This window comes from Homo sapiens, chromosome 11 (assembly GCF_000001405.40).
Source record: "Homo sapiens chromosome 11, GRCh38.p14 Primary Assembly".
In the NCBI taxonomy this organism is placed as follows: domain Eukaryota; kingdom Metazoa; phylum Chordata; class Mammalia; order Primates; family Hominidae; genus Homo; species Homo sapiens.
Window position 1 is genome coordinate 87912942 of NC_000011.10, and position 27499 is coordinate 87940440.

General features: G+C 37.5%; 1 protein-coding gene across 2 annotated transcripts in view, besides 1 other annotated feature; it reads right to left on the bottom strand.

Moving 5' to 3' along the window:
- Positions 1–27499, bottom strand: part of RAB38 (RAB38, member RAS oncogene family) — a 371729-nt gene that overhangs the window by 109227 nt on the left and 235003 nt on the right. The window lies entirely within an intron of this gene.
- Positions 13149–14348: an enhancer, noted in NCBI's record as "BRD4-independent group 4 enhancer chr11:87636982-87638181 (GRCh37/hg19 assembly coordinates)". NCBI's record gives its function as "activates an origin of replication core promoter dependent on BRD2, P300/CBP, MED14 and CDK7 cofactors, and independent of BRD4, by STARR-seq in HCT116 cells {active_cell/tissue: HCT116}" and the evidence as "EXISTENCE:reporter gene assay evidence [ECO:0000049][PMID:35650434]".

The window sequence follows — 27499 nt, forward strand, 5'->3', positions numbered from 1 at the left end:
CAGTGTTTTCATTTTCGTCCAGTTCACAATGTTTTGACATCCCACTTTAGCTTTCTTCTTTTCCTTATAGTTTCTTTACAAGTGTGATATTTAGTTTCCAAATATTTGGGGATTTTCCAGCTATCTTTCTATTACTGAATTTATTAAAACTTCCTTTTTGGCCAGAATACAGTCTAACTTGGTAAATGTTTCATGTGTACTTGAAACTAATGCATTTTCTACTATGGTTGGGTGGAGTGTTCTATAAATGTCAAGTAGTAGCCGTTCAAGTTGGTTTATGTTTTTTCAAGTCTTCTGTGTCTTTATTGAAGATACAGATTTTCTGTCTACTTTTTCTATCAGTTATCATGGAGGAATGTTAAAATCTTTCATTTTAATTGTGAATTTGCTTATTACCCCTTGAAGTTTTGTCAAGGGTTTTCTTTCTGGTATTTTGAAGTTCTGTTATTAGGTGTAGAAATATTTTGAATTTTGTAATGCCATTTGATTAAGTAACCCCTGAACATTAAAAAATGACCCTCTATATCTTTGGTAATGTTTCTTTCCATGAGTTGTGTAATATGAATATAGTCATTCTAGCTTTCTTTGATAGCCTGGCGCTGGAGTTTGAATATGACTTGTCTCCACCAAAAGTCACATTGAAATTTGATCCCTAATGTGGTGGTATTGGGAGGTGGGCCCTAGTGGGAGATATGTGAGTCATGAGGGTGAATCTCTTGTGAATGGTTTGTTGCTGTTCTCACGGTAGTCTCTTGCAAGACTGAATTCATTCTTGTGGGACTGACGCTTTGAGAGCAGGTTGTTATAAAGCCTGGATGCCCCCTCAGGTTTTGCCTCTTCGCATATATCTACTTCCCCTTGACTTTCCCCACCATGTTGTGATGTAGCATGCTCAGCCCCTTCTGTGTGACACTCTGTGCTACCTCAGGACTCTACAGAGAGTTCCGCCGGCAAGAGGACCTCATTCTTGGAACTCTCAGCCTCCATAACTGTAAGAAATATTTTTTTTTTCTTTAGAGATAACCTAGTTTTGGATATTCTGTTATAAGAAACAGAAAACAGAGTAAGGTAGAAAACTGGTACCAGGAATGGAGTGTTGCTGTAAAAATACCTTAAAGTGTGGAAGTGGATTTCAAATTGGGTAATGAGCAAAGGTTGAAAGAGTTTGGAGGATTAGGCTTGAAAAAGGCTCTGTTTCCATGAACAGATCATTAAGGGTGATTGTGATGAGGACTCGGAAGAACACAAAAAAAAGAGGGAAAATTTGAAGCTTTTTAGAGATTAAATGGCTGTGACCAAAACATTGATAGAAACATAGACAGTAAAGGCCATTTTGATAAAGTCTTAGGTAGAAATGGAGAGTATTTATTTGAAAACTGAAGCAAAGGTCACCCTTGTTACATTGTAGCAAAATTTTTGGCTGCCTTGTGTTCACGCTGTAGGGCCCTGTGGAGGACTGAACTTAAGAGTGATGGACTAGGATATCTGGTGGAAGAAATTTCCAATAGCAAAGTCTCCAAGAAGTGGTATGGTTACTTTTCACTGCTCATGCTCAGTTATGGGAGCAAAGAAATGACCTAGAGGTAGAATTTATAATTAAAAGGGAAGCAGAGCATAAAAATTGGAGAAATGTTTAGCCTACCTATGGGGTAGAGAATGAAAAAGTGTTTTCAGAAGAGGAATCCAAGGGTGCAGTCAAGTGACTGCTTGTTACGTAATAGTGAAAACACTGAGAAAAAGGCCCTGACACCATTTCAAAGATTTTCCAGGCTGCCCCTCCCATCCAGGTCCTGATAAAATAGTTTTAGAGGACAGGCCTGAGGGACTGCTGCCCTGCATTGTTTCAGGACACTGCTTCTTGCATCCTAGCTGCTCTGGCTGAAGCAGCCATGTCTCCAGTGGCCCCAAGTGTGACCCAGGCTTCCACTTTGGAGCAGTCAGGTGGTAAGCTTTGGCAGCTTCTACAAGGTGTTAGGGCTGCAGGTGCCCAGAATGCAAAAGCCACAGAGGCTTGGCAGCCTCCACCTAGATTTCAGAGGTTGTATCAGAAAACTTGGGATACTAGGCCAAAACCTGCCTGAGGGGCAGAGCCACTACAGAGAATCCCCACTAGGACAATACCTAGTGGATCCATAGGTGTAGGCCACTACCAGACCCCAGAATGGTAGAGCCAGTGGCAGTATGTAACCCCAAATGGAAAAGTTATAGGCATTTGATTCCAATCTATGACAGCAGGCATGTGAGCTGTGCCTAGCAAAGCTGTCAGAGGCATTTGAACCAGAGTGACTCCATCTTAAATAGGGTAAAATAAGGCTGAGACCTACTGGGTTACATTCCTTGGAAGTTAAGGCATTTTCAGTCACACAATGAGATAGGAGGATGGCATGAGATACAGACTTTGCTGATAAAACAGGTTGCAGTAAAGAAGCTGGCTAAAGCCCACCAAAACCAAGATGGCGACAAAACTGACCTCTGGTCATTCTCACTGCTCATTACATGTATAATTATAATTCATGTAAATTGTAATCCATTAGCATGCTAAAAGACACTCCCACCAGTGCCATGACAGTTTACAGATGTCATGGCAATGTCAGGAAGTTACCCTATATGGTCTAAAAAGGGGAGGGATCCTCAGTTCTGGGAATTGCCCACCCCTTTCCTGGAAAACTCACAAATAATCCACCCCTTGTTTAGTATGTAATCAAGAAGGAACCATGAAAATGGACAACCAGCGGCATGCTTATGGAATAGCCATTTTTTAATTGCTTTACTCTCTTAATAAACTTGCTTTCACTTTACTCTATGGACTCCCCTTGAATTCTTTCTTGTGTGAGATCCAAGAACCTTGTCTTGGGGTCTGAATCAAGACTGCTTTCTGGTAACAAAGCCATGAGGTGGGACTGACTGCTTGAGGCCTTGGGAGTCCACCCCTCACACCAGTGCACCAAGGATGTGGGACGTGGAGTCAAAGATTATTTATGATCTTTAAGATTTAATGTCTGCTCCATCAGGTTTTTTATTTGCTTGGGGCCTGTTGTTAGTTTCTTTTGGATGACTTTTCCCTTTTGGAATGGGAATATTTACCAAATGTCTGTCTCACAATTGTGTCTTGGAAGTAAATAACTTTTATTTTACACTCAAAACTGGAAGGAGCTTGACCTGTCTCAGATGGGACTGATTTTGGCTTTTGTTTTGGTGCTAACACAAATTAGGACTTTGGGAGACTATTGGGAGGGAATGACTGTATTTTATATGAGAGATGGACATCAGTATTGAGGGGCCAGGAGTGGAATGCACTGGTTTATGTATGGTTTTTCGCCATCAGACTCAGGTTGAAATTTGATCCCCAATGTGAAGGTGTTGAGAGGTGGGGCCTAGTGGGAGGTATTTGAATCATGGGGGCAGATACTTCATAAATGTCTGGGTACAGTTCTTGTGGTAATGACTGAATTCTTGCTCTGGGAGATTGATTAGTTCTTACAGAAATGGATTAGTTCCACTGAGCATGTTTTGTTATAAAGTGAGGGTGCCCCTTAATTTTGCTTCTTCACATGTGTCCACTTCCTCTTTGACCTCCTCTGCCATGGCTTGACCCAGCACATGGACCTCACTAGATACCAACAATGTGCTTCTCATACTTCCCAGCCTGCAGAATTGTGATCTAAATAGACCTCTTTTCTTTATAAGTTACCCAGTCTCAAGTATTCTGTTATAGCAATACAGAACAGACTGAGACAATTATTATGTCTTTCTCTCCTTCTTACTTTAAATCTGTTTTTGTCTTTATATTTAAATTGGGTTTCTTGTAGGCAATGTATAGTTGAATTTTGCTTATTTTGTTGTTGTTTTCAAAATCCAGTCTATTGACTTCTAACTTTTTTGAACTGATGATAAAAATCTCCATATTTATTGTATGCAGCATGATGTTTTGTATACATAGTGGACTGACTAAATGAAGCTATTTAACATATGTATTATCTCACATGCTTATGATTTTTTTAGTGGATTACTTACAAATCCCAGAGAGAAGGGGTTAGCATACCTCACAGGATCAATGGGAAGTGGAGAGTCATCCAGGACATATGCATATTTAACCAGTGGCAGGGAAGCAGGGGAGAGAGAGAGCAAGGGACATGAGGGCCAAAACCTTTACTGGGCTGGGGCATTGCCCAAGCAGGTTTCTTATGGGGAAGTCTAATTGGTGGGTTCAGAGAAAGTAGGCACAAGTTCCATGGAGGGATGCTGAGACTTAGAGGTGGTCACTGTGGCATACCTGCACCGTGCGTGGGGTATTGTGGGGGTCACCAAGGTGAGTCAAGGATGAGTCTATATGACTCGTAGAGAGATGGTCATCAGGAAATGGTGGTATAAGGCAGATATCTGGTTCTAGCACACTGAAAAACTGGGAGGAGGTGGAGAACAGGAAAATGTGTCAAGAATGACTAATTCTTGCTTCTGGTTTGAGAAAGCTCAACTTATGTTCAAAATGTATATAGAATAAATTATGGTGATACATTATTATTGACTATATCACCACCATGTCATACAGTAGATCTATTGAACTTATTTCACTTGTCTCACTGAAGTGTTTTTTTTTTTTTTTTTTTTTTTCAGGGAGGGAAAGACAAAACATATTTATTCCAGGCCAGGTCTTAAAATGCATGCTGCATTGTTCCCTATTGTTATCGGCACCAACAAGGAGAGAACATGCCTTAATGGCACCTCCACCTGGAGCTTGCCATGTGGCTGCTGTGAGGCTCCCTGTGAGTCCATGCACTCTTCTTCCTCATTGGTGCAGTCAGTGAGGTTTTCTACCCTCATAGCAAAGGGATCCTTAACTATAAATTCACTGTGTGCAGAGAAGAGGACAGAATCTGATGCATTGATTGTTCCTCATTTAAACCATGACTTAATCCCTATCTCAGGATTTAACTATCCTTATTTTCTGGTTAAAATTTTTTTTAATAAAAGAAAGGGGGAGATTGGTAAGGGGCAAAAACAATAGAAATTACACCATACTGACACAGAGACTTTAAGTTCTAGTCAGAGGGAAGACCCATATAGAGGGCCAACTGAAGTTTTGTGTCCTCTGACAAACACCTGCCCACTCCTCATGCCCCCCGCCCCCCAGCCTCAGGATGCCACCATTTTACTATCAGTTCAACTTTTTTACACTCCGTATATAAGTGAGATCATGTGGTACTTTTCTTTTTATGCTTGGCTTACCTCACTTAACACATCCTCCGGGTTCATTCATGTTGTCACAATGACAGAATTTCCTTCTTTGTATAGCTGAATAGTACTTCATCATGTATATATGCCACATATTCTTTATCCATTCATTCACTGATGAACACTTAGATTTATTTCATATCATGGCTATTATGAATAATGCTGCGATGAACGTGGGAATACAGATCTCTCTTCTACATACTGATTTCAAATTATTTGGATTTATAACCAGTAGTGAAATTACTGGATCATATAGTAGTTCTAATTTTTGAGGAACTTCCAAACTGTTTCCCATAATGATGTATTAATTTACATTCCCACCAACAGTGTACAAGGATTCTCTTTTCTCCATATCTTTGCCAATACTTCTTATCATTTGTCACATAAGACCAAAGCCATTTTACAGGTATTAGATGAATTTCACTGTGGTTTTCATATGTATTTCCCTGATGACTACTGGTGATCATTTTTTTCCATATACTTGTTGGCTGTTTCTACACCTTTTAAGAAATGTCTATTGCGGTATTTTTCCCATTTTTAAATCAAGTTATTGTTTTCTTTTTATGAGTTAAGTTTCAAATATGTTTAGAATATTAAGTCTTTATCAGATGTATGTTTTGCAAATATTTACTTCCATTCCATAGGTTGTCTCCTTACTCTAGTAATTGTTTCTTTTCCTGTGCAAGAGCTTTTGAGTTTGGTGTGATCCCATTTGTCTGTGTTTGCTTTTGTTGCTTGTGCTTTCTGGGTCACAGTAAAAAAAAAAAACATCATTGCCCAAAAACATGACATGAAGCTTTCCCCATATGTTTTCTTATACTGTATTTACAGTTTAGGTCTTTAATCAATTTTGATTTTTATAAGTGGTGAGGGATAAGGGTCTAATGTCATTCTTCTGTGTGTAGATATCCAGTTTTCCAACACCATTTATTAAATAGACTGCCTTTCCTCCAGTGCATTTTCTTGACATCATTGTCAAAAATGAAGTAGCTGTAAATGTGTGGATTTATTTCTCAGCTCTCTATTAAATTTTATTGGTCTATGCATCTGTTGAGTATGAGTTTAGCTATTAATTTTTTATATGGCCTTTATTGTGTTGTGGAACAGTTCTACTTAATTTGTTGTGAGTTTTTATCATGAAAGCATGTTAAATTTTATTGAATTTCTTTTCTTCATCTGTTGAGATTATCATAGTTTTTTTTTATTTTATTAATGTGATATATGGAATTTATTGATTTGCCTATATTAAACTGTTCTTGAATTCCAGGAATTAACCCCACTTGCTCATAGTGAATTATCCTTTTAATAAGCTGTTGAATTTGGTTTGCTATTATTTTGTTAAGAATTTTTAATCCATCATTTATCAGGGATGTTGGCCTGTAATTTTTTTTTTCCTTGTGGTGTCCTTGTCTGGCTTTGGTATTAGAGTAATGCCAGCTTTCTAAAATGAGTTGGGAAGCGTTCTTTCCTCTTCTGTTTTTCAGAAAAGTTTGAGAAAGACTGGTATTAGTTACTTAAATATTTGGTAGAATTCAGCATTGAAGCCATCTGGTCCTGAGATTTTTCTGTGATGGGAGAATTTTTATTATTGATTTACTATGCTCTTAACCATTATTGGTCTGTTCAGATTTTCTGTTTCTTCATGATTCAGTCATGGTGGATTTTATATGTCTAGGAATTTATTCATTTCATTTAACTTAAATTTGTTGGCATATAATTGTTTTAGTAGTCTCTTATGATACTTTAATAAAATTCACCTACCCTAAGTAAGTCTGACAAATGTATTTCTGTGGCATGGGTTGTTATGTCATTTCTTTCATTTCTCTTTTTATTTATTTGAGTCTTCTCCCTTTATTTGAGACTTCTCCCATAGTCTAGCTGTGGGTTTGTCAATTTTGCTTGTCTTTTCAAGGAAACAATCCTTAGTTTTGTTGATCTTTTCTATTGTTTTTATAATCTGTATTTTATTTATTTCTGCTCTGATCTTTATTATTTTCTTCCTTCTGCTAATTTTCAGCTCAGTTTATTCTTCTTTTTCTGTTTCTCTAAGGTTTAATGTTAGCTTATTTGGGATCTTTCTTCTTTTTTGATGTAGGAATTTATTATTATAATCTTCTCTCTTAGGACTGTTATTTTTATGCATCCCATAAGTTTTAAATGTTGTGTTTCCATTTTCTGCTCAAGATTAAAAAAAATTCTCTTTTGATTTATTCATTGACCAATTGGTTGTTTAGGAACACATTGTTCAATTTTCACATATTTGTGACTTTTTCTGATATTTTTCCTATTATTGAATTCTAATTTTAGACCATTGTGGTCAGGAAAGATACTTGATATGATTTCAATCTTCTTCAATTTGTTAGGGCTTATTTTGTGGTTTAATATATGATCTATTCTGGAGAATCGTTTGTGTGCAGTTGAATAGAATGTGTATTTTGCAGGTGTTGAATGCAGTATTTGTGTATGTCTATTAGGTCCATTTGGTCTAAAGTACAGTTTAAGTTTAACATTTTCCTACAGATTTTCTCTCTGGATGATCTGTCCATTACTGAACATGGGGTATTGAATTACTGCATATTATTGTATTGTAGTCTATTTCTCCCTTCAGATCTATTAATCATTGCTTTTTATATTTTGGTACTTCCATGTTGGGTGAACATGTATTTGCAGTTGTTGCATTTCCTTGATGAATTGATTCCTTTATCATTGTTTTAGTACATATTATATAAATATAGCAGAACACCACATATTGGGTAATCTATAATTAGAGATTTACTGGCTCGCAGTTCTGGTGGCTGTAAAGTCCAAGACCAAGGGGCTGGCATCTGGCAAGGGCCTTCTTGATGCATCATAACAGGACAGAAGGCATCACATGGTGAAAAGACAGAATGAACAAGAGGGGGTAAACCCACTCTGACAATAGGGAACCCATTCCTGTGATAATGGCATTAATGTATTCATGAGGACTGCTATGTATAACTACAGACAGTTTCTGACTTATGATGGTTTGACTTTAAAATGTGTAAACTTTATGATGGTGTGAAAGCAATCCATATTAAGTAGAAACGATACTTTGAATTTCGATCATTTCCTGGGCTAGTGATACTCTCCTGTGTTCCTGGGGAGTGGCAATAAGCCATAGCTCCCAGTCGTTCAGCCATGGGATAAGGGTAAACAGCCAATACACTACAGTGTACTGTGTTACCAGATGATTTCGCCCAACCGTAGGCTTATATGAGTGTTCTGAGCATGTTCAAGGTAGGCTCGGCTAAGCTATGATGTTTAGTAAGTTAGGCATATTAAATGCATTTTTGACATGATATTTTCAGCTTATGGGTTTATTGAGAAATAATTTCATTGTAAATCTCTCTCTATATATAAAATATTATATATAATATATATTATATATATACACATTTAGATATGACAACATTACTCTCTCTGTACTTCAGGTACCTTTTGACTCTTTTCTCTTTTACCAGCTGTAAGCTTCTTGAGCTTAGAGATTGGTATTATTCATCCTTGCATCCCCAGGTCCTAGTATGTGCCTGGCACATAGTAAGCACTCAGGAAAAGTTTTAAATGAATAACTGAGTAAAAATATTGGTTGGTAGAGCCTTTTTTTTTCTCAGATAGCAGCTAGTTTATTTCAACAAAACTGTAAGTCCCATTTTGAAGCAGCACATTGGATAAAAATGATTAAAGAGATGATCTAGTCTTCTAAGCAATGAAACACATGAGCATAGGACTGTACTTGAGCAAAATCAGGATTCTGCCAACCACAAGGAAGGAGAAAAATGGTAGGCAGGTAGACAGATAAGTAATAAGTATTCTCAAAAGCACCTGTACCCTTTGTTCTGAAGAGAATGTTTTAAACATATACCAAGTGAGAATTTTAAATAGTGTTTTAGACTGGTTTCATGACAGCGTCTAACTTATATGACTGTAAATATTTCCAGAACACAATAAACTCCACTTCCATCCCAAGATGCTTCATGCAGTGTGTCACTTTGGATGGTAATTATATTGCATTAGGGAGACAGATTGTGCAGCCTCAAAAGGGAAAGACTATACTGGTAAATCTGTCATCCACCCCCACAATGCACACCCTCTAACGAGGAGAATTCTATTATTTCTGGACCATCTTTATTTCACATTTATTAATTAAAAAATACAAGCTACTGGAGCAGAGTAACTCCTAAGTAGAAAGCACTGTTTTTGTTTCAATCATGGAGATCTAGTTTTTGTTTTTCCTCTGTGGGAATATTTTTAAATACAGAATTTTCCTACTTATTTCTTTTCACCCTTTTAAGACAGGGCAATGCTTAATTACCTGTCATATTCATATTTGACAAGTCATTCAAATTTTCCAAGCCTCATTTTTCTCACCTGAAAAAAATATATATAATTGAGTCATCTTATGGAGATTTTCCCTCTTAAAATAAAGGAGCCAAATTATTTTTACACTGCAAAACACTGAGCAAATTTTCAGTATGAGGTTTGTGGTACATGGAAATGTGGTAGTTATTTATTTTTTTATGCCAACAACTTTATACAGTGACTGGAACATGTTGACACTCAGTACATATTTTAAAGGAATAAAATAAATAAGAAAGGAGGAAAGATGGAAGCAAGAGTAAGGGAAAAGGGAGGGAGGGGAGGAAAAGACAGCGGAAACAGAGAGGAGGAATAAAGGAAGAAAAATGGATGGGAGATGGAAGGGGGAAGGGAGGAAGGGAGGGAGGAAAAAAGAAAAGGGAATCAGAAGGAGAGAGAGAAGGAAAAAGTAAGGAAGGAAGGAAGGAGAAAATAAAAGAATAGGGGAACAAGGAAAGGGAGGAATAACTATGACTGTTATGTAATTAGTTGATTAATTTTGACTTTGACCTGTATATAACAACAACTGATTTAATCATGGTAGCTGTTCTGTTCTCCTCCAAATAAGGTAAGTATATTTTTCAAAGTGATTAATGTTACATGAAGTTTAAACATGGTGGTCCTGCGTTGGGGTGGTTGAAGTAGTTATATTTGCTACTTTGTTAGTATTAGTATTAATATTACCACCTTTGAAAATGAAACCGGAAAGAGACGGTTTCATTTCCAAATGCAATAGCTAAGTGGAAATGCTAGAGAAGACGCATTCATTAAAGGGATTGCCCTTTTTTTCCTACTTTTTAGAGAATTTATTCAAAAAACAGCAGGATACTTTTTAAATATTCTTAGATTCTTAGTCTTAAATTGGAAATAATTTATTTATTTATTTTGTCCTTAAGCATAAACTTGATTCATTAGTAGGGACACACAAACAAACATAATTAGTACTAGAGAATAGAAGGTATTTGTATCTTGCTCCAATGTAAGAGTCAATTAATTCTGTGTGTGTGTGTGTGTGTGTGTGTGTGCATGTGTGTGTGTGTGGCAGCTTTTTGACAATCTAATGCAGATACATTTTTTAAAAGATGGTGATATTATTCCTCATGTAAACAAATAATTCTGAGGTTGTTTTAGGAAAGAAGAAGTCGGTGCTTTGGATGCATTTAATGATAGCATTACTAATCATCACTACCATTAATTAAGCACCTGCTCTGAGCAAGGCACTGCACAGATGCTGGCTCATTTAATTCTTATGGGAACACTGTGAAGGTAGCATTTGCATCACAGTTTTGTAGTTGAGGAATCATCGACCCAGAGAGAATAGTTAACATTTCAAAAATACTAGTTGATGGCTTTCCTCATTATGTCCACCTCTCCAAGGTCAGAGAGTGACTGAAGATCAAAGAGAAAATTGAAAAAAAAAAAAACACATTTCTAAGCCCTCTTTCATCTCAGAGAAACAACAAAAAGCTGAAGTAAATACAGACACACACACACACACACAACATTTTAAATAAGACACTTGGCATTGTTCTAAGTTCTTTGCTAAAGTATTTCTGCAAATCCCCTAACACACCTGTAAGAAGGACACTATTTTCCTTATGTGACTGATGAGAGAAGGAAAGTCTGGGAGGTTAACTTGCTTCCCCAATTTGGCAAGTAATGGAATCTGTATTTGAACTCAAAATGCACATACATGCCTTGGAAGTCGGTAAGTAAGGCTGTGCCCCTTTCCCAGGTCACACTGACCTTCACCTGCAGTGCAAAAACACTTTACAAGCACAGGATACTTAAAGTGATACAAAGACAAACAAGACATAGCCTTGAACTCAGAGAACAAAATCTCAGAAAATATCTCAGCTGATGCAACATGAGGAAGTGTGAGATGGTTTGCAAAATAGTCCTTGGAGGTCATAAACTGAAATATTAACTGGTGACCTTTTTTCTGTTGAGTAAATTTTTGATGGAGAAAGGGCCTTCTAGCACCTTGGTGGGAGACGACCTTATTATGATGGAGGAGACCCTCACTCTACTTCACCAGGCAACAGATTTTGAAAGGTGAAAGTAAGCCTTTCTCTACTTTGCAGGAAAGGTGGCATGTTGCATACACACTTTGAGATAACTCTTATAACAGATCTGTGGGATGGTAACTCTTTTTTTCCCTTTTACAAGTGAGAAAACTGAGGCTTGAGAAGACGAAGGGTTCACCTTGGGTCATACAGGTAGGAAGTGGTGGAGGCAAGGCTCAAACCAATGCCTACCTTATTCCAAAGATCCAGTTTTTCCACTGCATCTCATTGCCTCTCATTGTGTATACAAATGTGTGTTGTGTGTATGTGTGTGAGTGCGCATGTGCAAACAAATGGACATATCTTGTGGCTCCTGAAGCCTGCTTTTATATTTGCATTTCTTTTCTCCTTTTCCTCTTCCAGGATAGCATGTGCACACTAGGTAAACGAGGGAGGTTGGTGTGCTCAGTGGTAGGGATGGTGATGTCTTGAACCAGGGAGAGTAAAGAAGGCCTGTGGCTAGTAGAAGCTCTTCTCTCTCACTGGCAATACTAGAAAACCAGAACAAGGGTTATAGTTCCTGCCTTGAGCATCCACCAAACCTGACTTCACTATTTCCTAGATCTGAGTATACTGAAAAGTTAAAATGGAGTTCAGCTTAGAACCTCTTACTTGGTGTAAGTCATAAATACTTAGTTTTCAAAGACTTAATTCAAACGCCAATTCTTCTAAAAAGTTTCTCTTATCACCTGCCCAATTAATGCTAACTTAAGGAATTTATTTTTCTACGAATATTTACCAAGTAGCTACCATGTACCAGGCATTGTGCTAAGCATCTGTGTTAGGGTTAGGGTTAGGGTTAGGCACATCGACGATCATTTTACACTATAATTGTTTTTCTAAGGATCTGTACCATAAACTAACAAGGACAGTTGTTTATCTGCTCAATATTCCTAGCTTTTGGCATGGTTTGCACATAGAGTAAGTATATAATAAAGGTATGTTTAATGAAGGTATTCAGGGAAGAACTGATTATTTCAAATGGAAATCATCTTGGCTGGTTATAGGGTGAGGGAAATCAAAGGTTGAGCTGATCATTTTACAAGTCCCAAGAGGTGATCTCACACTTCCTTGAGGGGACCAGTGGGCAAATGTTATAGAAGGCAGATGACTGCAAAAATAAAGGTAGTACTTTCTTTCTATGAAGTTATCCAATTATAGGATGGGCTGTCTGTTGAGGTAATGTGCTTCTTATAAGTGGCATTTAAGCAAACTATAAAGCCTTTGTCTATCTGGAGTGATCTGGAAGGGTTTTCCACATTGATTTTGACACGAACTCATCTAAGGCTTCTTCTAACATTGATACCTGCCACGCTACGATCAGGAAGTCTTTACGGAGGGAACAGCAATGTCTTAGTGAAGCAGGAGAGGATGGTTCATGTCAGAATGCCCCTCTACCTCTACCAATTCAAATCCTACTCATTTACCCTTTGTGCTGCACCGAGAGACAGCCACTCTGTTAATGGCCTATGCTTGAGTGTTAGCACGGAGTTAGTTCATCATTCATGGATAATGAGCAGAGAGGTCCGACCAATGAAAGAATCGCCACTACCCTCTTTGACTGTCATGATTGTCAACCTTATGATTTTACCCTCAGGTCCTTTTTGGCCTAGTTTCTCTTTCACATCTCTGCTTCAAAAGCTTCAAACCTATGTTCCTGACTGAATTTCAGAAAAGTTATTACCTTCCCTAAAATTAAAAAAATAATAAAAATTACCAAACTATTGTCAATTAAAATGTAGTAGTAAAGTTCTGACCCTGAAGCTAGATCACTTCACTCAGCCATCGACTTCCGGAAAGTGAGCTCACCTTTCTGTGCCTCATCTGTAAAATGAGAACACTGAATCACTCAGGAATTTCCTTACTCTAATTCTAAATAAGTCAAATGGTGGTTTTTTTGTTTGTTTGTTTGTTTGTTTGTTTGCATTCTCAGTCCCAAAGAATTTACCTATTGAGAATGGTAATATATGGAAGCTTGAGTCCCCAAGAGAGTTGCTATGTCATTGTAGATAATTCTAAATGAAGAGGAAGAGAGGCAAACTAAGCTGGCAGGTGACAGTCTGGGGCTGGTGCTGCTAAGGAGTTGAGCTTTATTACTCAAGGATGAGCAAGAGCAGACTTTCCTCACAGGACCTGACCGGCTAATCTGTGAAGGATGACTCATTCATCAATGCTGAAGATGACCGCAGCACTGAGCTGCAGCTCTGTCTTCCACCAGGCTTCCTTTGCACAACGTCACCCAATTTCCCAGGAAACCCTGGCTAGGCTAGTTTGTTTTGATGCATTCTAGAATAGCAACAGTGGTAGAAACAGTGGAGGAGATGGATCCAACAGTTCAGAGAGTCAACTCAGAAGAGAGGAGACAAGGAACATGATGACATGTGGACTTGCATCTGTATGATAAAGTAAAGATTTTGGTTGTACTGTTTCAACTGCTATTCTTCATACTCATTTATCGCAGGAGGCTTATAAAGAATAACTGCAGGTGGTGACTGCTCAGAAAGAGGCGTCCCACTAAAAATACAATTTGGGATGTGAATCTACTTGTCAGTATAAATAGACTTGCAGTGTTTTCAATGATCCATACCTGGCTGTGAGCTACCTGCAGGTAGGGATTATATTAAATATATTCCTACACCCCAGTATTCAGAAGGGAGCATTAACAGAGCTGGTGCTCAATATAGGCTTGATAAATAAAAGAAAAATTTAGAATCATTTTTGTTTTAAGGCAGTTGGATTATAAATGAGTTTCTTTCTTTTCAGGAGTACCCATAATATTGTATACTGCTTTTCACTTGGAGGTGAGTTACCTTCAGTTGACTTACCTCCTGAACAGAGTTCTCTAAACAGAACCTTCTCCTTTGTTAAATTGCCAATCCACATACTCGTCTCTTAACCATACTGTATACATGACATAGTACTCATACCATCCAATCTAAGAAGCCTTCCTCCTATCCCTGGGGAAATCACCCTCTCTCTTTCTTAATTTCTAGTATAACCTAGTATACTAGTATAACTAGTATACTAGAAATTAAGGAAGAATACTAGATTTAAAATTGTCTTCAAATCCCTTTCTGCCTCTCACTTGTTGTCAGCCTTAGGCAAGTTACTTAACTTTTCTCTGCTTGTTTTCTGATCTGCAACATAGGGATACTAACAAAGGCTATTGGCGGAGCAAGATGGCTCATGCCTATAATCCCAGCACTTTAGGAGGCTGAGGCAGGAGGATCATTTGAGCCCAGGAGTTCCAGACCGGCCTGGGCAACATAGTGAGACCTGTCTCTACACAACATAAACAATTTGAAAAAAGAAATAGCTAGGTGTGGTTGTGCAAACCTTTAGTTTCAGGTACTCGGGAGGCTGAGGTGGGAGGATTGCTTGAGCCCAGGAGGTTGAGGCTGCAGTGAGCTATGATTGTATCACTGCATTCCAGCCTATGCAACAGAGCAAGACCCTGAAAAAAATAAGAAAACAGAAAAGACAAGAAAAGAAAGAAAGAAAGAAGGAAGAGAGAGAAACTATCATGGTTTTCCAGTTGGGCTAAATGAGTCAGTACATGTACTTATCAAATGGTAAGTGTTCAATAACTTTTAACTATTAGTAGTATTTTCCCTCTTTCATGTTGTACTTTTAATAACAAATTACTTCTTGTATTTTAATAAAACTAATTTATCAGTTTATTCTAAGATGAGTTATATAAAATGAAAACCCTGGGGAGAGTCTCCACATCTGATCATGTGTTCTTAAAATAAATGAAAAAATGGAAAGTTCTTTTAATTCAGTCTCCCCATGATATATACCTCTTATAACAAGATGATATTGAGTCATCCTTATTGTGTATGATTTTCATAACTATTAAAGATATCTTAAAATGCATTTAAATGTAAATAATTAAAATTTTAAGTAAAATGTTGAGACAAACTGCCGAGGTTTTTTTTAAGTGAACAAAAGTAGATCAAAGGGTAAAAATACATAACGATATAAAAAAATTCCACTGTTTGTTAAAACACTGTCAACACAATAGTTAATAGAAACATAAAAATGAGAAGGATGAATTTTAGATGAATTTGCTTTCAAAAAGCAAATGGTCCTATTTTCAAATAGAACCACAAAGAATTGTATAAACACTCAGTTTCTTAATATGAAAATAAAAAGAATAAGTAACACTAAATCACTCATTACTCTACTATTTTTTGAATTATATAAGAAAAAAGTAGGCCAGGTGCAGTGGCTCACACCTGTAATCCCAACACTTTGGGAGGCCAACGCAGGCGGATCATTTGAGATCAGGAGTTCAAGACCAGCCTGACCAACATGGTGAAACCCTATCTCTACTAAAAATACAAAAAATAGCTGTGTGTGGTCGTGTATACCTGTAATTTCAGCTACTCAAGAGATTGAAGCATGAGAATCTCTTGAATTCAGGAAGTAGAGGTGGCAGTGAGCCAAGATCACAACACTGCCCTCCAGCCTGGGCAACAAAGCGAGACTCTGTCTCAAAAAAAACAAGAAAAAAAGTAAAAGCTCTTCATCCCTATTCATTCAAGTCTATCCTGTAGAGGTAAATACTGTTAACAATTTGGTAGGCTTCCTTCCTGATCTTTTTCTCATTCATATTAATCTGTTGTATTCAGTTAACTAGTTAGTAAAAACAGAGTGCTATACTTATTGTAACCCCCTCTTTCCTTTTAACAGTTTAGCATGGGCATCTTTTCATGTACATATGTTTATCTCATTCCTTTTTTTTTTCCAGCCCAATATTCCCATAGAAATTAAATTTCATTCTTATTAAAGGTTTCACCCTATTTCCTGGTGTGGATATACCCTAATTATTTAAGTCAGTCTGAATGGGAGTTGAATTTTAGGGTTGTATTTCAAATAATCATTTGGAAAATTATTTTAGCTACAGTTTATTTTAGCTACATTAATTTTGATTCTTTTTTTTGGTTTTTTTTTTTAAGGTATACTTTAAGTTTTAGGGTACATGTATACAACGTGCAGGTTAGTTACATATGTATACATGTGCCATGTTGGTGTGCTGCACCCATTAAGTCGTCATTTAACATTAGGTATATCTCCTAATGCTATCCTTCCCCCCTCCCCCCACCCCACAACAGGCCCCGGTGTGTGACGTTCCCCTTCCTGTGTCCATGTGTTCTCATTGTTCAATTCCCACCTATGAGTGAGAACATGCGGTGTTTGATTTTTTGTCCTTGCGATAGTTTGCTGAGAATGATGGTTTCCAGCTTCATCCATGTCCCTACAAAGGACATGAACTCATCATTTTTTATGGCTGCATAGTATTCCATGGTGTATATATGCCACATTTTCTTAATCCAGTCTATCATTGTTGGACATTTGGCTAGGTTCCAAGTCTTTGCTATTGTGAATAGTGCCGCAATAAACATACGTGTGCACGTGTCTTTATAGCAGCATGATTTATAATCCTTTGGGTATATACCCAGTAATGGGATGGCTGGGTCAAATGGTATTTCTAGTTCTAGATCCCTGAGGAATCGCCACACTGACTTCCACAATGGTTGAACTAGTTTACAGTCCCACCAACAGTGTAAAAGTGTTCCTATTTCTCCACATCCTCTCCAGCATCTGTTGTTTCCCGACTTTTTAATGATCGCCATTCTAACTGGTGTGAGATGGTATCTCATTGTGGTTTTGATTTGCATTTCTCTGTTGGCCAGTGATGATGAGTATTTTTTCATGTGTCTTTTGGTTGCATAAATGTCTTCTTTTGAGAAGTGTCTGTTCATATCCTTCGCCCACTGGTTGATGGGGTTGTTTGTTTTTTTCTTGTAAATTTGTTTGAGTTCATTGTAGATTCTGGATATTAGCCCTTTGTCAGATGAGTAGATTGCAAAAATTTTCTCCCATTCTCTAGGTTGCCTGTTCACTCTGATGGTACTTTCTTTTGCTGTGCAGAAACTCTTTAGTTTAATTAGATCCCATTTGTCAATTTTGGCTTTTGTTGCCATTGCTTTTGGTGATTTAGACATGAAGCATTTGACCATGCCTATGTCCTGAATGGTATTGCCTAGGTTTTCTTCTAGGGTTTTAATGGTTTGAGGTCCAATGTTTAAGTCTTTAATCCATCTTGAATTAATTTTTGTACAAGGTATAAGGAAGGGATCCAGTTTCAGCTTTCTATATATGGCTAGCCAGTTTTCCCAGCACCATTTATTAAATAGGGAATCCTTTCCCCATTTCTTGTTTTTGTCAGGTTTGTCAAAGTCAGATGGTTGTAGATATGTGGCATTATTTCTGAGGGCTCTGTTCTGTTCCATTGGTCTATATCTCTGTTTTGGTACCAGTACCATGCTGTTTTGGTTACTGTAGCCTTGTAGCATAGTTTGAAGTCAGGTAGCGTGATGCCTCCAGCTTTGTTCTTTTGGCTTAGGATTGACTTGGCAATGCGGGTTCTTTTTTGGTCCCATAGAACTTTAAAGTAGTTGTTTCCAATTCTGTGAAGAAAGTCATTGTTAGCTTGATGGGGATGGCATTGAATCTATAAATTACCTTGGGCAGTATGGCCATTTTCACGATATTGATTCTTCCTACCCATGAGCATGGAATGTTCTTCCATTTTGGATAATAAACTCAAGATAATCTTTAAAGGCAGAAATAATACTAAAAGATAAGCTATTATGGAAGGAAGGAAGATAGATGCAAGTTGGTTTGGGTTGTCTATTTTTGTTTGAGGCCCTTTCATCATACCTACTGTCATCCTTATTGCAAGTACGAGAAGAAAGAATTCCATATAAGATGAGAAGGTGTAGACAGCTCCACTCAGGCTGATGCTTTGCACTAGGTTGGGAAATGTGTCTACTTTTGCTTGGGAGGGATCCAGAGCAGGGAGGCAATTACCAGGAGTAGGACTGAGAAATCACTTGTTCTTTCAGAGGCCACTGGCCACCAGGTACCATATGGCTGCTTCCATGTTGTGAATTCCCTGAACACCAGGCACACTGGCATTCAAATGTCAGAACAGAACAATTTTCAAAACCAAGCAAATTATATTTGGATTACCCATAATATCAGTTCCTTCTGTTAGCTTTGATGATTCAGAGAGAATATATGTGTTAAATTAACAAGTGTATTAAGAACTTTTGACATCTGTAAACTTTTCCTTAGCTGGTACACCAAATGCCTCTATAATTCTTGCCTACAATCTGTGTGTTTAAGTGTGGACAAGAACAAAATGAGATGAATGTGTGTTCTCTGACTAACGAAGCAGCACCTCCATTTACTGTAAGCAGAAGGGGCCAGGGAGTAAAGGAGAAAGGAGGATATTTGGACAATGCACAGGAGGGGTGGGGTGGGGTGGTGAGGGAGAATGGCAGGCTCCTGGATCATCATGATCCAGGATTTTGGTGCTGCTTCTGAGGATGAAATTGTTTGCTCTCTCCATGTCCCAGTTCCAGGTCCCTAGGTTTGAACACCATGTCCACCCCAAGCCTACCAGCTATAGCCAGGGAGATTAGCTAAATAAGAGATTCAAGGGGGGCAAGGGGAGGGAGAACATTAGGACAAATACCTAATGCATGCTGGGCTTGAAACCTACATGAGAGGTTGATAGGTACAGCAAACCACCATGGCACATGTATACCTATGTAACAAACCTGCACGTTCTGCACATGTATCCCAGAACTTAAAGTAAAATTTTTAAAAAAAGAGAGAGAGATTCAGGCTGAGAAGCAACAACTTAAGAGTTGTTGAGGACAGAGTTTTGTGCCACCAGAAGGGAGAGAAAAACCTGGAACATGGCAGAAAGGCATCATGAAGAGAAGTTTGTGCAGGGGTTTCTAACATGTCTGGGTAGCATGGTGACTCTGCATGCTTAGTTCTCTATAAGCATAACCAAGCTGTCACAACAGTTTCCTTCTATCATCTCACCAAATCTCTTCTGAACTTCCTTTAGTTCTTCTAATGGATTTTTGCCCAGAAAAATAAGATACATCTCACTTAGATCCTAGTGTAATCAGCCTCCCATGAAAAACCCAACAAAACAATTTCTCAAAGCTTGCTCTCTGCTGTGTTAGATAAGCATTTAGATCCCATCTACAAGCATCCTCTTCTCCCCATCCTTTTGTGTAAGTACAGCTGCAGCTAGTTGTCCAGTGTGTAGGCAAAAACCACCTGACTCATCTACTCATACCTTAATGGCAGCTGTGTCCCAGGCTTCAAACTGTACTGGTTACTCAGATCTTCTAAATTGGGCATTCCTAATTCTAGAATCAGCAGCAAAGGGACCTAGGGACAGGTCATATTATTGAAATTTTATTTTCTTAATTTAGAGTCAAGTCATCTTGGTTGCAGTTATGAGAACACAGAATCCACAGTCTGCTAAGTTATATTTTCTGAAGAGCCCTATCAATGACCTTAAAAAGACAACAGCACCATCTGTTATGCACCACCCACAATATCACGTATGGAGGTTCATCTTAGAACAAAGATGAATCCTCAGTGAATACAGCAAGAAATAAACTGACTCAAGTTCCAGATTAGCCAGGCAACTGCTAGGTGTTTTGAAAGCAGAGAAGCCAAATCAGAGATATGAAAAGAAATTAGTACTCAGGTAGAGATGCTACAACATGGCTTTATAACAGAAATAACATATAGTGGGCTTTTTGTTGTTGTTGTTTCCCCAGATCCATTCCTTTTTGTAGCACTGGTATCCTCATTTTCCTCTGAGCCGTTCCTTGCCCACTCCCATCTCATATTTTTCAGGTAAAGTTGATTTCACTCACAGAATACATGAGTAGAACATGTGTTCTGGTCCAGCTTAGTTACCTCATTCTATCCTGTTTGACTCAGTGCAGTTTAAAAATGGGCACATGTCTCAAAGTAGGTCTGCCAGAGAAGGCACAACCTGAAGACTTAAGCTTTCAGAAAAACAAACTCTCAACTGCTAGACAGGAATGAGATTCTGTAAATGTGAAGCTTCCTTGGTGTCTCTGGGCAGAATTGAGAACTGAAGTAGCTCTGAGGAAACAGCCAAGAGGTGGATAACATTTTTTGAGCTGGGAATCAATTCATACTTAAAAAGAAGCCTAGATTTTTCAGTTTGCATGGAGCCAAAAAAAAAAAAAAATTCCCTTTAGCATAAGCAGATCCACCAATGGCAAGACGGGAAGTCCTACCTACATTGGCATTTTCCAATTTAGGAAATATTAGCTGAAACACCTTTCTCTACCCAAGCTTCTCTGCCTTGTTGAGAAGTTGAGAAGCAACAACTTAAGAGTTCTTGAGGACGGAGTTTGCTGCCACCAGAAGGCAGAGAAAAACCTGGAACATGGCAGAAAGGCATCATGAAGAGAAGTTTGTGCAGGGGTTTCTACCACGTCTGGGTAGGGTGGTCCTTTCTTAGTCTGGGGTTTCTACCATGTCTGGGTAGGGTGTTCCTTTCAAGTCCTTTCTTACACAGCCAATAACCTTCCAGCATCTCCCTGAATTAATCCGTGATTGTCCTGGACCACTCAGTGAAGCACTTCAGTATAATCAGCCTTTTTATAGAGGTCTTCCAAGTTAAACTGAAATCTGGATGTGTATCTCAATTACAAATAACATGCCTGTGTGCTTGAAACAGACACTGCAATGACTAAAAGGTAAATCCATGAAATAGGGGCCTATTTATTACCTACAGAAGCACCATTTAAGACACAATTGAAGTTTCAACTTGATTCTTTCTAACTTTCGATCCCCCTTTGGTATGATAATTATACATTTTCTAGTAAAATTATTTCTGCCATGTCATCATAACAGATTGGATTAAAAGACAAATAAATGAATTATATGCTAACCTCATAGGTAGCCTGGCAGAAAATCCACCCAAAAGTGTTATTTTATACCTAGTGGCAAAAAGTTGACCCAGTTGAATTTATTATTTGGGAAAACATAAATGTCATGTTAACATAAAAGGCTATTGATTTGAGGCAGTACTCTCGTGCAATGCTAAATTACTTTCCTAGTTCTGCCTGTGGTCAGTCTCAAAGGAAGTGAAGCTTTCAGTCTGTACATCTTCCAAGCCTACCACTTGTCTCCATCTGTGCTTATAAAAATCTTGCACTCATGAATATTATTTATATGAGTATAATATTAAAGTCTGATCAGGAAAAAAGAAACCATCTGAGGTATTTAACAGAAAAAAATACAAAGGTTTGGTTTAAAATACATTAGGGAATAGAAAAGATGAAAAAGGAATGTTAAGGTAACACTGAGGTAGCAGTTGCAGCAAACAGCTACAATGGGAAGAGATGGGGCAGCGATGAGATGGGATAACAAAGAGAAGAGTTTGGAGATATTGGAATGTAGAAGCTTGAGGAAGAGACTGTGTGGAGCCTGGAAACAGTGTCCTGTGGCCACGGTGTAGAGCCCTTGCCAGGCTAATGCTGGTAGAAACTGCAAGCACTTCGGGAAGGGCGGGTCTCTCCTCCCTTCTTCTTGTCTTCCAGTCTCCTTCAAGGGGACACAAACCAAAAAGCTGTTCTAGAAGATTTGGAGAAATTAAGGGTTGCTATATGACAAGTTACTGAAAGTTAAATATTAGATATCCTTTTAAAAAACGTCTCCTCAGTCATTTCATCCATGTGAAAATCCTCTTTGGCCTTATTTTGAGGGGGCTCTTCCAATATGCTCCTGATCCTTTGATTTTGAACTTCCACACATCTTCCCCCTTTTCTTCATTTCCTGATCCCTTTACTGTTTCTCTCCTGGGATTCCCCTAATGATTCAAAATTATTATTTTCTATAATTCAACCCTCTTCACCCCCATCCTTTCTCATTTCAGACCATGCCCTTCAGAAGACTTCTTTTTCACACAGATTTCTGTAGAGTTTGTTATTCTGTCCTGAGATTAATTTTGTTCCTTTTTTGGAATAAGAACCAGTTACAGTTAATTATTATTTTTATTATTATTTTATTTTGAATTAATTATAGATTCACATGAAGTTGTAAGAAATAATGCAGATAGGTCCAGTGTAGCCTTACTGTTTTCCCCAGTGGTAACCTCTTGAAAACTTATAGTACAATACAATCAAGATGTTGACATGGATATAGCCAAGATTTAGAACATTTCCATTACCATAAGGATCTCTCTTGTCCTTTTATAGTCACACCCACTCCCCACCCCTACTCCCTGCATCCATGAACCTGTTCTTCATTTTATAATTTTGTCATTTGAAGAATGATATGTAAATAGAATGAAACATTATGCACTCCACTTAGAATTGATTTTTATTCACTCAGAGTGGTTTTAATTTACACTTTAATAGCTAATGATGTTTTATATCGTTCATGTGCTTATTTGCTATCTGTATCTTGGTGAAATGTCTCTTTATGTCTTGTGCCCATGTTCTAATTGAATTGTTTGCTATTTGTTTTATTTGCTGTTGAGTTTTGAGAATTCTTTATTATAAACACTAGTTCTTTGTAGGTTGCAAATATATTTTCCTCTGTAGTTTCTCTTTTCATCTTCTCAGTAGGTTCTTTTGTAGAACAAATTTTAAAAATATTCATGAAGTCCAAATTATCAATTTTTTTCTTTTATGGATCGTGCTTTTGGTGTCAAGTCTATAAACTCTTTGCCTAGTTAGACTTACAAGATTTTTTCTTATGTTTTTATTCTAAAAGCTTGATAGTTACATATTTTATATGTAAGCCCAAGTTCCATTTTGAATTAATGTAGAAGGTGTGAGACAGGCCAAGCTTTATTTTTATTTATTTATTATTTATTGGATGTCCAATTGTTCCAACATCATTTATTGAAAAAGTAATCTTTCCTCCATTAAATTGCTTTTGCACCTTTGTCAAAATATCAGTTGGGTACATTTGTATGGAAATACTTCTGGGTTCTTCTGTTCCATTGATTTATGTGCCTACCCCTCCAGCCCTGACACACTCCATCCATACCACACCATCAGTACCACACACACAGTCTTAATGATTGTACCTAAAAAGCAAGTTTTGAAATTTGGGTAGATGGATTCCTTCCACTTTATTCTTCTTTGTTAAAATAGTTTGAGATATTCTAGCTCATTAGCCTTCCAATATAAATTTTAGAATAGTTTTGTCTATAACCACAAAAAATCTTGGTGGGATTGTGGTAGAAATTACATTAAACCTGATTATCAATTTGGGGAGAACTGAAGTATATACTGTATGGGATTATAATTGATTGTTGTATGTTTATTTTGTATTATGCAACCTTCCTAAACTTGGTTATTATTTCTAGGAGGTTTTGTGTTTTGTTTTTGTAAATTGCTTGGTAATTTCTATGTATACAACCATGCCATTTGCATTTATTTCTTCCTTTTAGATTTGTATGCATTTTCATTTCTTTCCTTGCCTTACTACAATGGCGAGAACTTTTAGCAACATGTTGAATAAGAGTGGTTAGAATGGATATCCTTGCCTTATTCTTGCTTTTAGGGGAAAAATATTCAGTCTTTAATCATGAAGTATAATTATAGATATAAGCTTTGTTGTAGATGTTCTTTCTTAACCAACTACTTTTCTGACATTATTATCTGAATGAGTATTGAGTTAGGTCAAATGCCTTTTCTGCTTTCATTGATGTGATCAGGTAACTGCTCTTCTTTAGCTTATTAATATGGTAATTGCATTAATTGATTTAGAGTACAGAACCAGCCTTGCATTCCTCAAATAACTTTTACTTGGTCATCATATATATATATATATATATATATATATATATATATATATCATAATTCTATTTGCTAGTATTTTGTTAAGTATATTATGAGGATATTGGTTTGTAGATTGTTTTGTACTGTCTGGTTGGTTTTTATATTGGAGCATTATCAGTTTCATAAAATGTACTGAGAAGTATTTCATCCTCTTCTATTTTCTGGAAGACATTGTGTCAAATTGGCTTTAATTCTTCTAGAATTATCTAGTGCAACCATCTGGTCCTGGAGATATTTTAGAGGGAGTTTTAAAATTATAAATCCAATTTCATGAATAGTTATGACTATTGCAATAATCTATTTTGTATTAGGCGAGTGGTGGTAGTTTATGTTTTCAAAGAATTGATCCATTTGGAAAAATTCTGCTGTTAAGCCCGTCTACTGAGTGTTTTACTTATTTTAGGTTTAGATGTAAAATCTCCATTTGGTTCTTCATAATATCTTCTATTACTTCACTGGCAGTTTCTATTGCTTGGCCGGCGCTTTCTATTTTCTTCATTTGTTTCAGGTATGTTTGTAATTGCTCATTGAAGTGTTTTTTTTTTTTTTTTTTTTTATCATGTATGCTTTACAATCTTGTCAGGTAATTCTAACATTTCTGGAATTTTGGTGTTTGTATCTGTTGAATATCTTTTTTATTCACTTTCAGATCTTTCTGGCTTTACATATAATAAGTGACTTGAATTGAAAACTGGATGTTTTCACATTATATACTGAGATTCTGGGACTTATTTAAACCTTCCGTTTTAGCTCGCTTTCTCTGTCATCTTGTTACCTGTAAGTGAAGGTAAAAGTTCAGATTCCCCATTTGGCCTCTTTAACACCTGAGATGGGGACTCCCTGTTATTGCTTTTTGGGGATGGGAATTCCAGCTTTTCATGGGATCTTTCCTGACACTATGGTGGGGGTGGACTCATTACTGCTGGGCAGGGGTTAAAATCTTGACTTTCTACTAGGTTGTCTTTGACACCATCTTGGTGTGAGGTTGGAAGCTCAGCCTCCCCATATGGTATACACTGACACCATAAGGGGAAGTGGAAGACTCACCACTGGCTGGTGGGATGAACGTCTTAGCTTCCTTAGCCCTCTCTGGCACTACCCCAGCAGGGTTGTTGTGGTGCTTCTTTACAGCCTCACAAAGGGAGAAGTCCAGTTTCCCACTTGCGTTAACTGCTATGCGTAGGGGAGAGGACACGGTTCTTTTCAGTGCCATTAGGTTGCAGTAGAGGGGTTATTGTTTGAAAGGTTTTTTTTTCTTTCTTTCTTCTCTGTTGCTCTTTTCCGTTTTTTTTTTTTTGATTTTGTTGTTGTTGTTGTTGTTGTTTTTTGTTTGCCAGAAAAAAAAAAAACCACAAAATTTTGTTGGGGTTTTAAAATTGTTTGTGACCATGCGCATTTCCAGATTGATGGGTTCTTCAACTCCAAGGCAAGTATACGTAAGGCGAAAAGTAAACCCTATAATTCACCACTTTGTAGCTCCTTGGGTCCTGAGGTCCCTAGCCGGTCTGCCTTCTTTTCTCTACCTTTCAGAGTATTACTATATTTATTTTATATAAAATATAAGGTTTCAATTGTACTTAGTGGGATGAATAGGGAAATGTACTTCTACACCATGCTCCCAGAAACAGAAGTCCTTCATTGTTTTTTTAACGTTGCACTTTACTAAATGAGTTTATTTTTAGTACCTGCCAGATAACGAATACTATCCATTTTAGAGTATTTGGCATTGCTTTTTGTGATCAAATGTGTATTTGTCACTCAGTTCCCAATCAAACCTAGCTTAAAATGTATTTCTTTCAGGAACTCCCCCATTAGAGCTCCCATTAAGTTGCTAGTTTTTAATTAGATATTTAGAATGTTGGCTATAGGATGAGTATGGTTCTCATTGGTGTCTCTTCAATTATGAGTGCTGTGAATCCAGAGTTATGGGTAGATAAAATCCATTGATACATACACACACACATTCACATACAAAATAATCCAAAAGTATGTGACCTTCAGGGATCTGCAGCAATTACTTCATTGGGGTAACACACACATACATACACACACACACACACACACACACACACACACACTCCTTGACATCAATATAGAAATAAAGAAGTTGAAACAAACTAAGGCAACATAAAGACTGTTTGATATTTTTCAACTTAAATGACTACAGTTGTTTAGTGGCATACTTTGTCCTTCTCAAATCTTAAAACAGAATTAAAATGATCTTAAAGAGCAGCACAGTTGGCCAGGCATGGTGACTCACGCCTGTAATCTCAGAACTTTGGGAGGCCGAGGAGCTAAGATAGCTTGAGCCCAGGAGTGCGAGAGCAGCCTGGGCAACATGGTGAGACCCCCTCTGTACCAACAAGAGAAAGAAAAAGAAAAGAAAAAAAGAAAAGAAATATCAAAATTAGTTAGGCATGGTGGCTCACGCCTGTATTCCCAGCTACTCAGGAGGCTGAGGTGGGAGGATCACTTGAGCCTGGGAGGCAGAGGCTACAGTGAGCTACGAGCGTGCCACTATACCCCAGCTACACCTCAGCCTGAGTGACATAGCCAGACCTTATCTCAAAAAATCAAAGTTGTCAAATCAATAATCTATAGTTTCACCTTAATAAACTAGAAAAAGAAGAGCAAATTAAATCCAAAAAAGAAATATTAAAGAGAAGAGCAAAAGGGAATAAAATAAATTGAAAAACCAGAAAAACAGTAGAAAAGATCAAACAAAAAATCCAGTGATTTGAGAAGATAAATAATATTGATAAATCTCTAGTCATACTAATAAGAAAAAAATGTAACAGGAAAGAAAGATTGGACATTTACCCAGATAATACAAAAAAAAAAAAAAGAGAGAGAGAGGGAGAAAAGCAGCATAGTTGGTTGGAGTTAATGTCAGATTGAGGCTCTGTTCACAAATTAGCCAGCATAAATTGTGACATGGTCTTAGTCTAATCTGCTGCCTAGTTTACCTTATATGAAGAATGAGAAAGACACTCATCTCTCTTTGCCCAGACACAGTGAGATAATGAGTGAAATAATACAAGTGCTAATTTCCCTCAATATCTGTTACTAAAATGATCATTGGAAATAGGCCTTGTACAGAATATT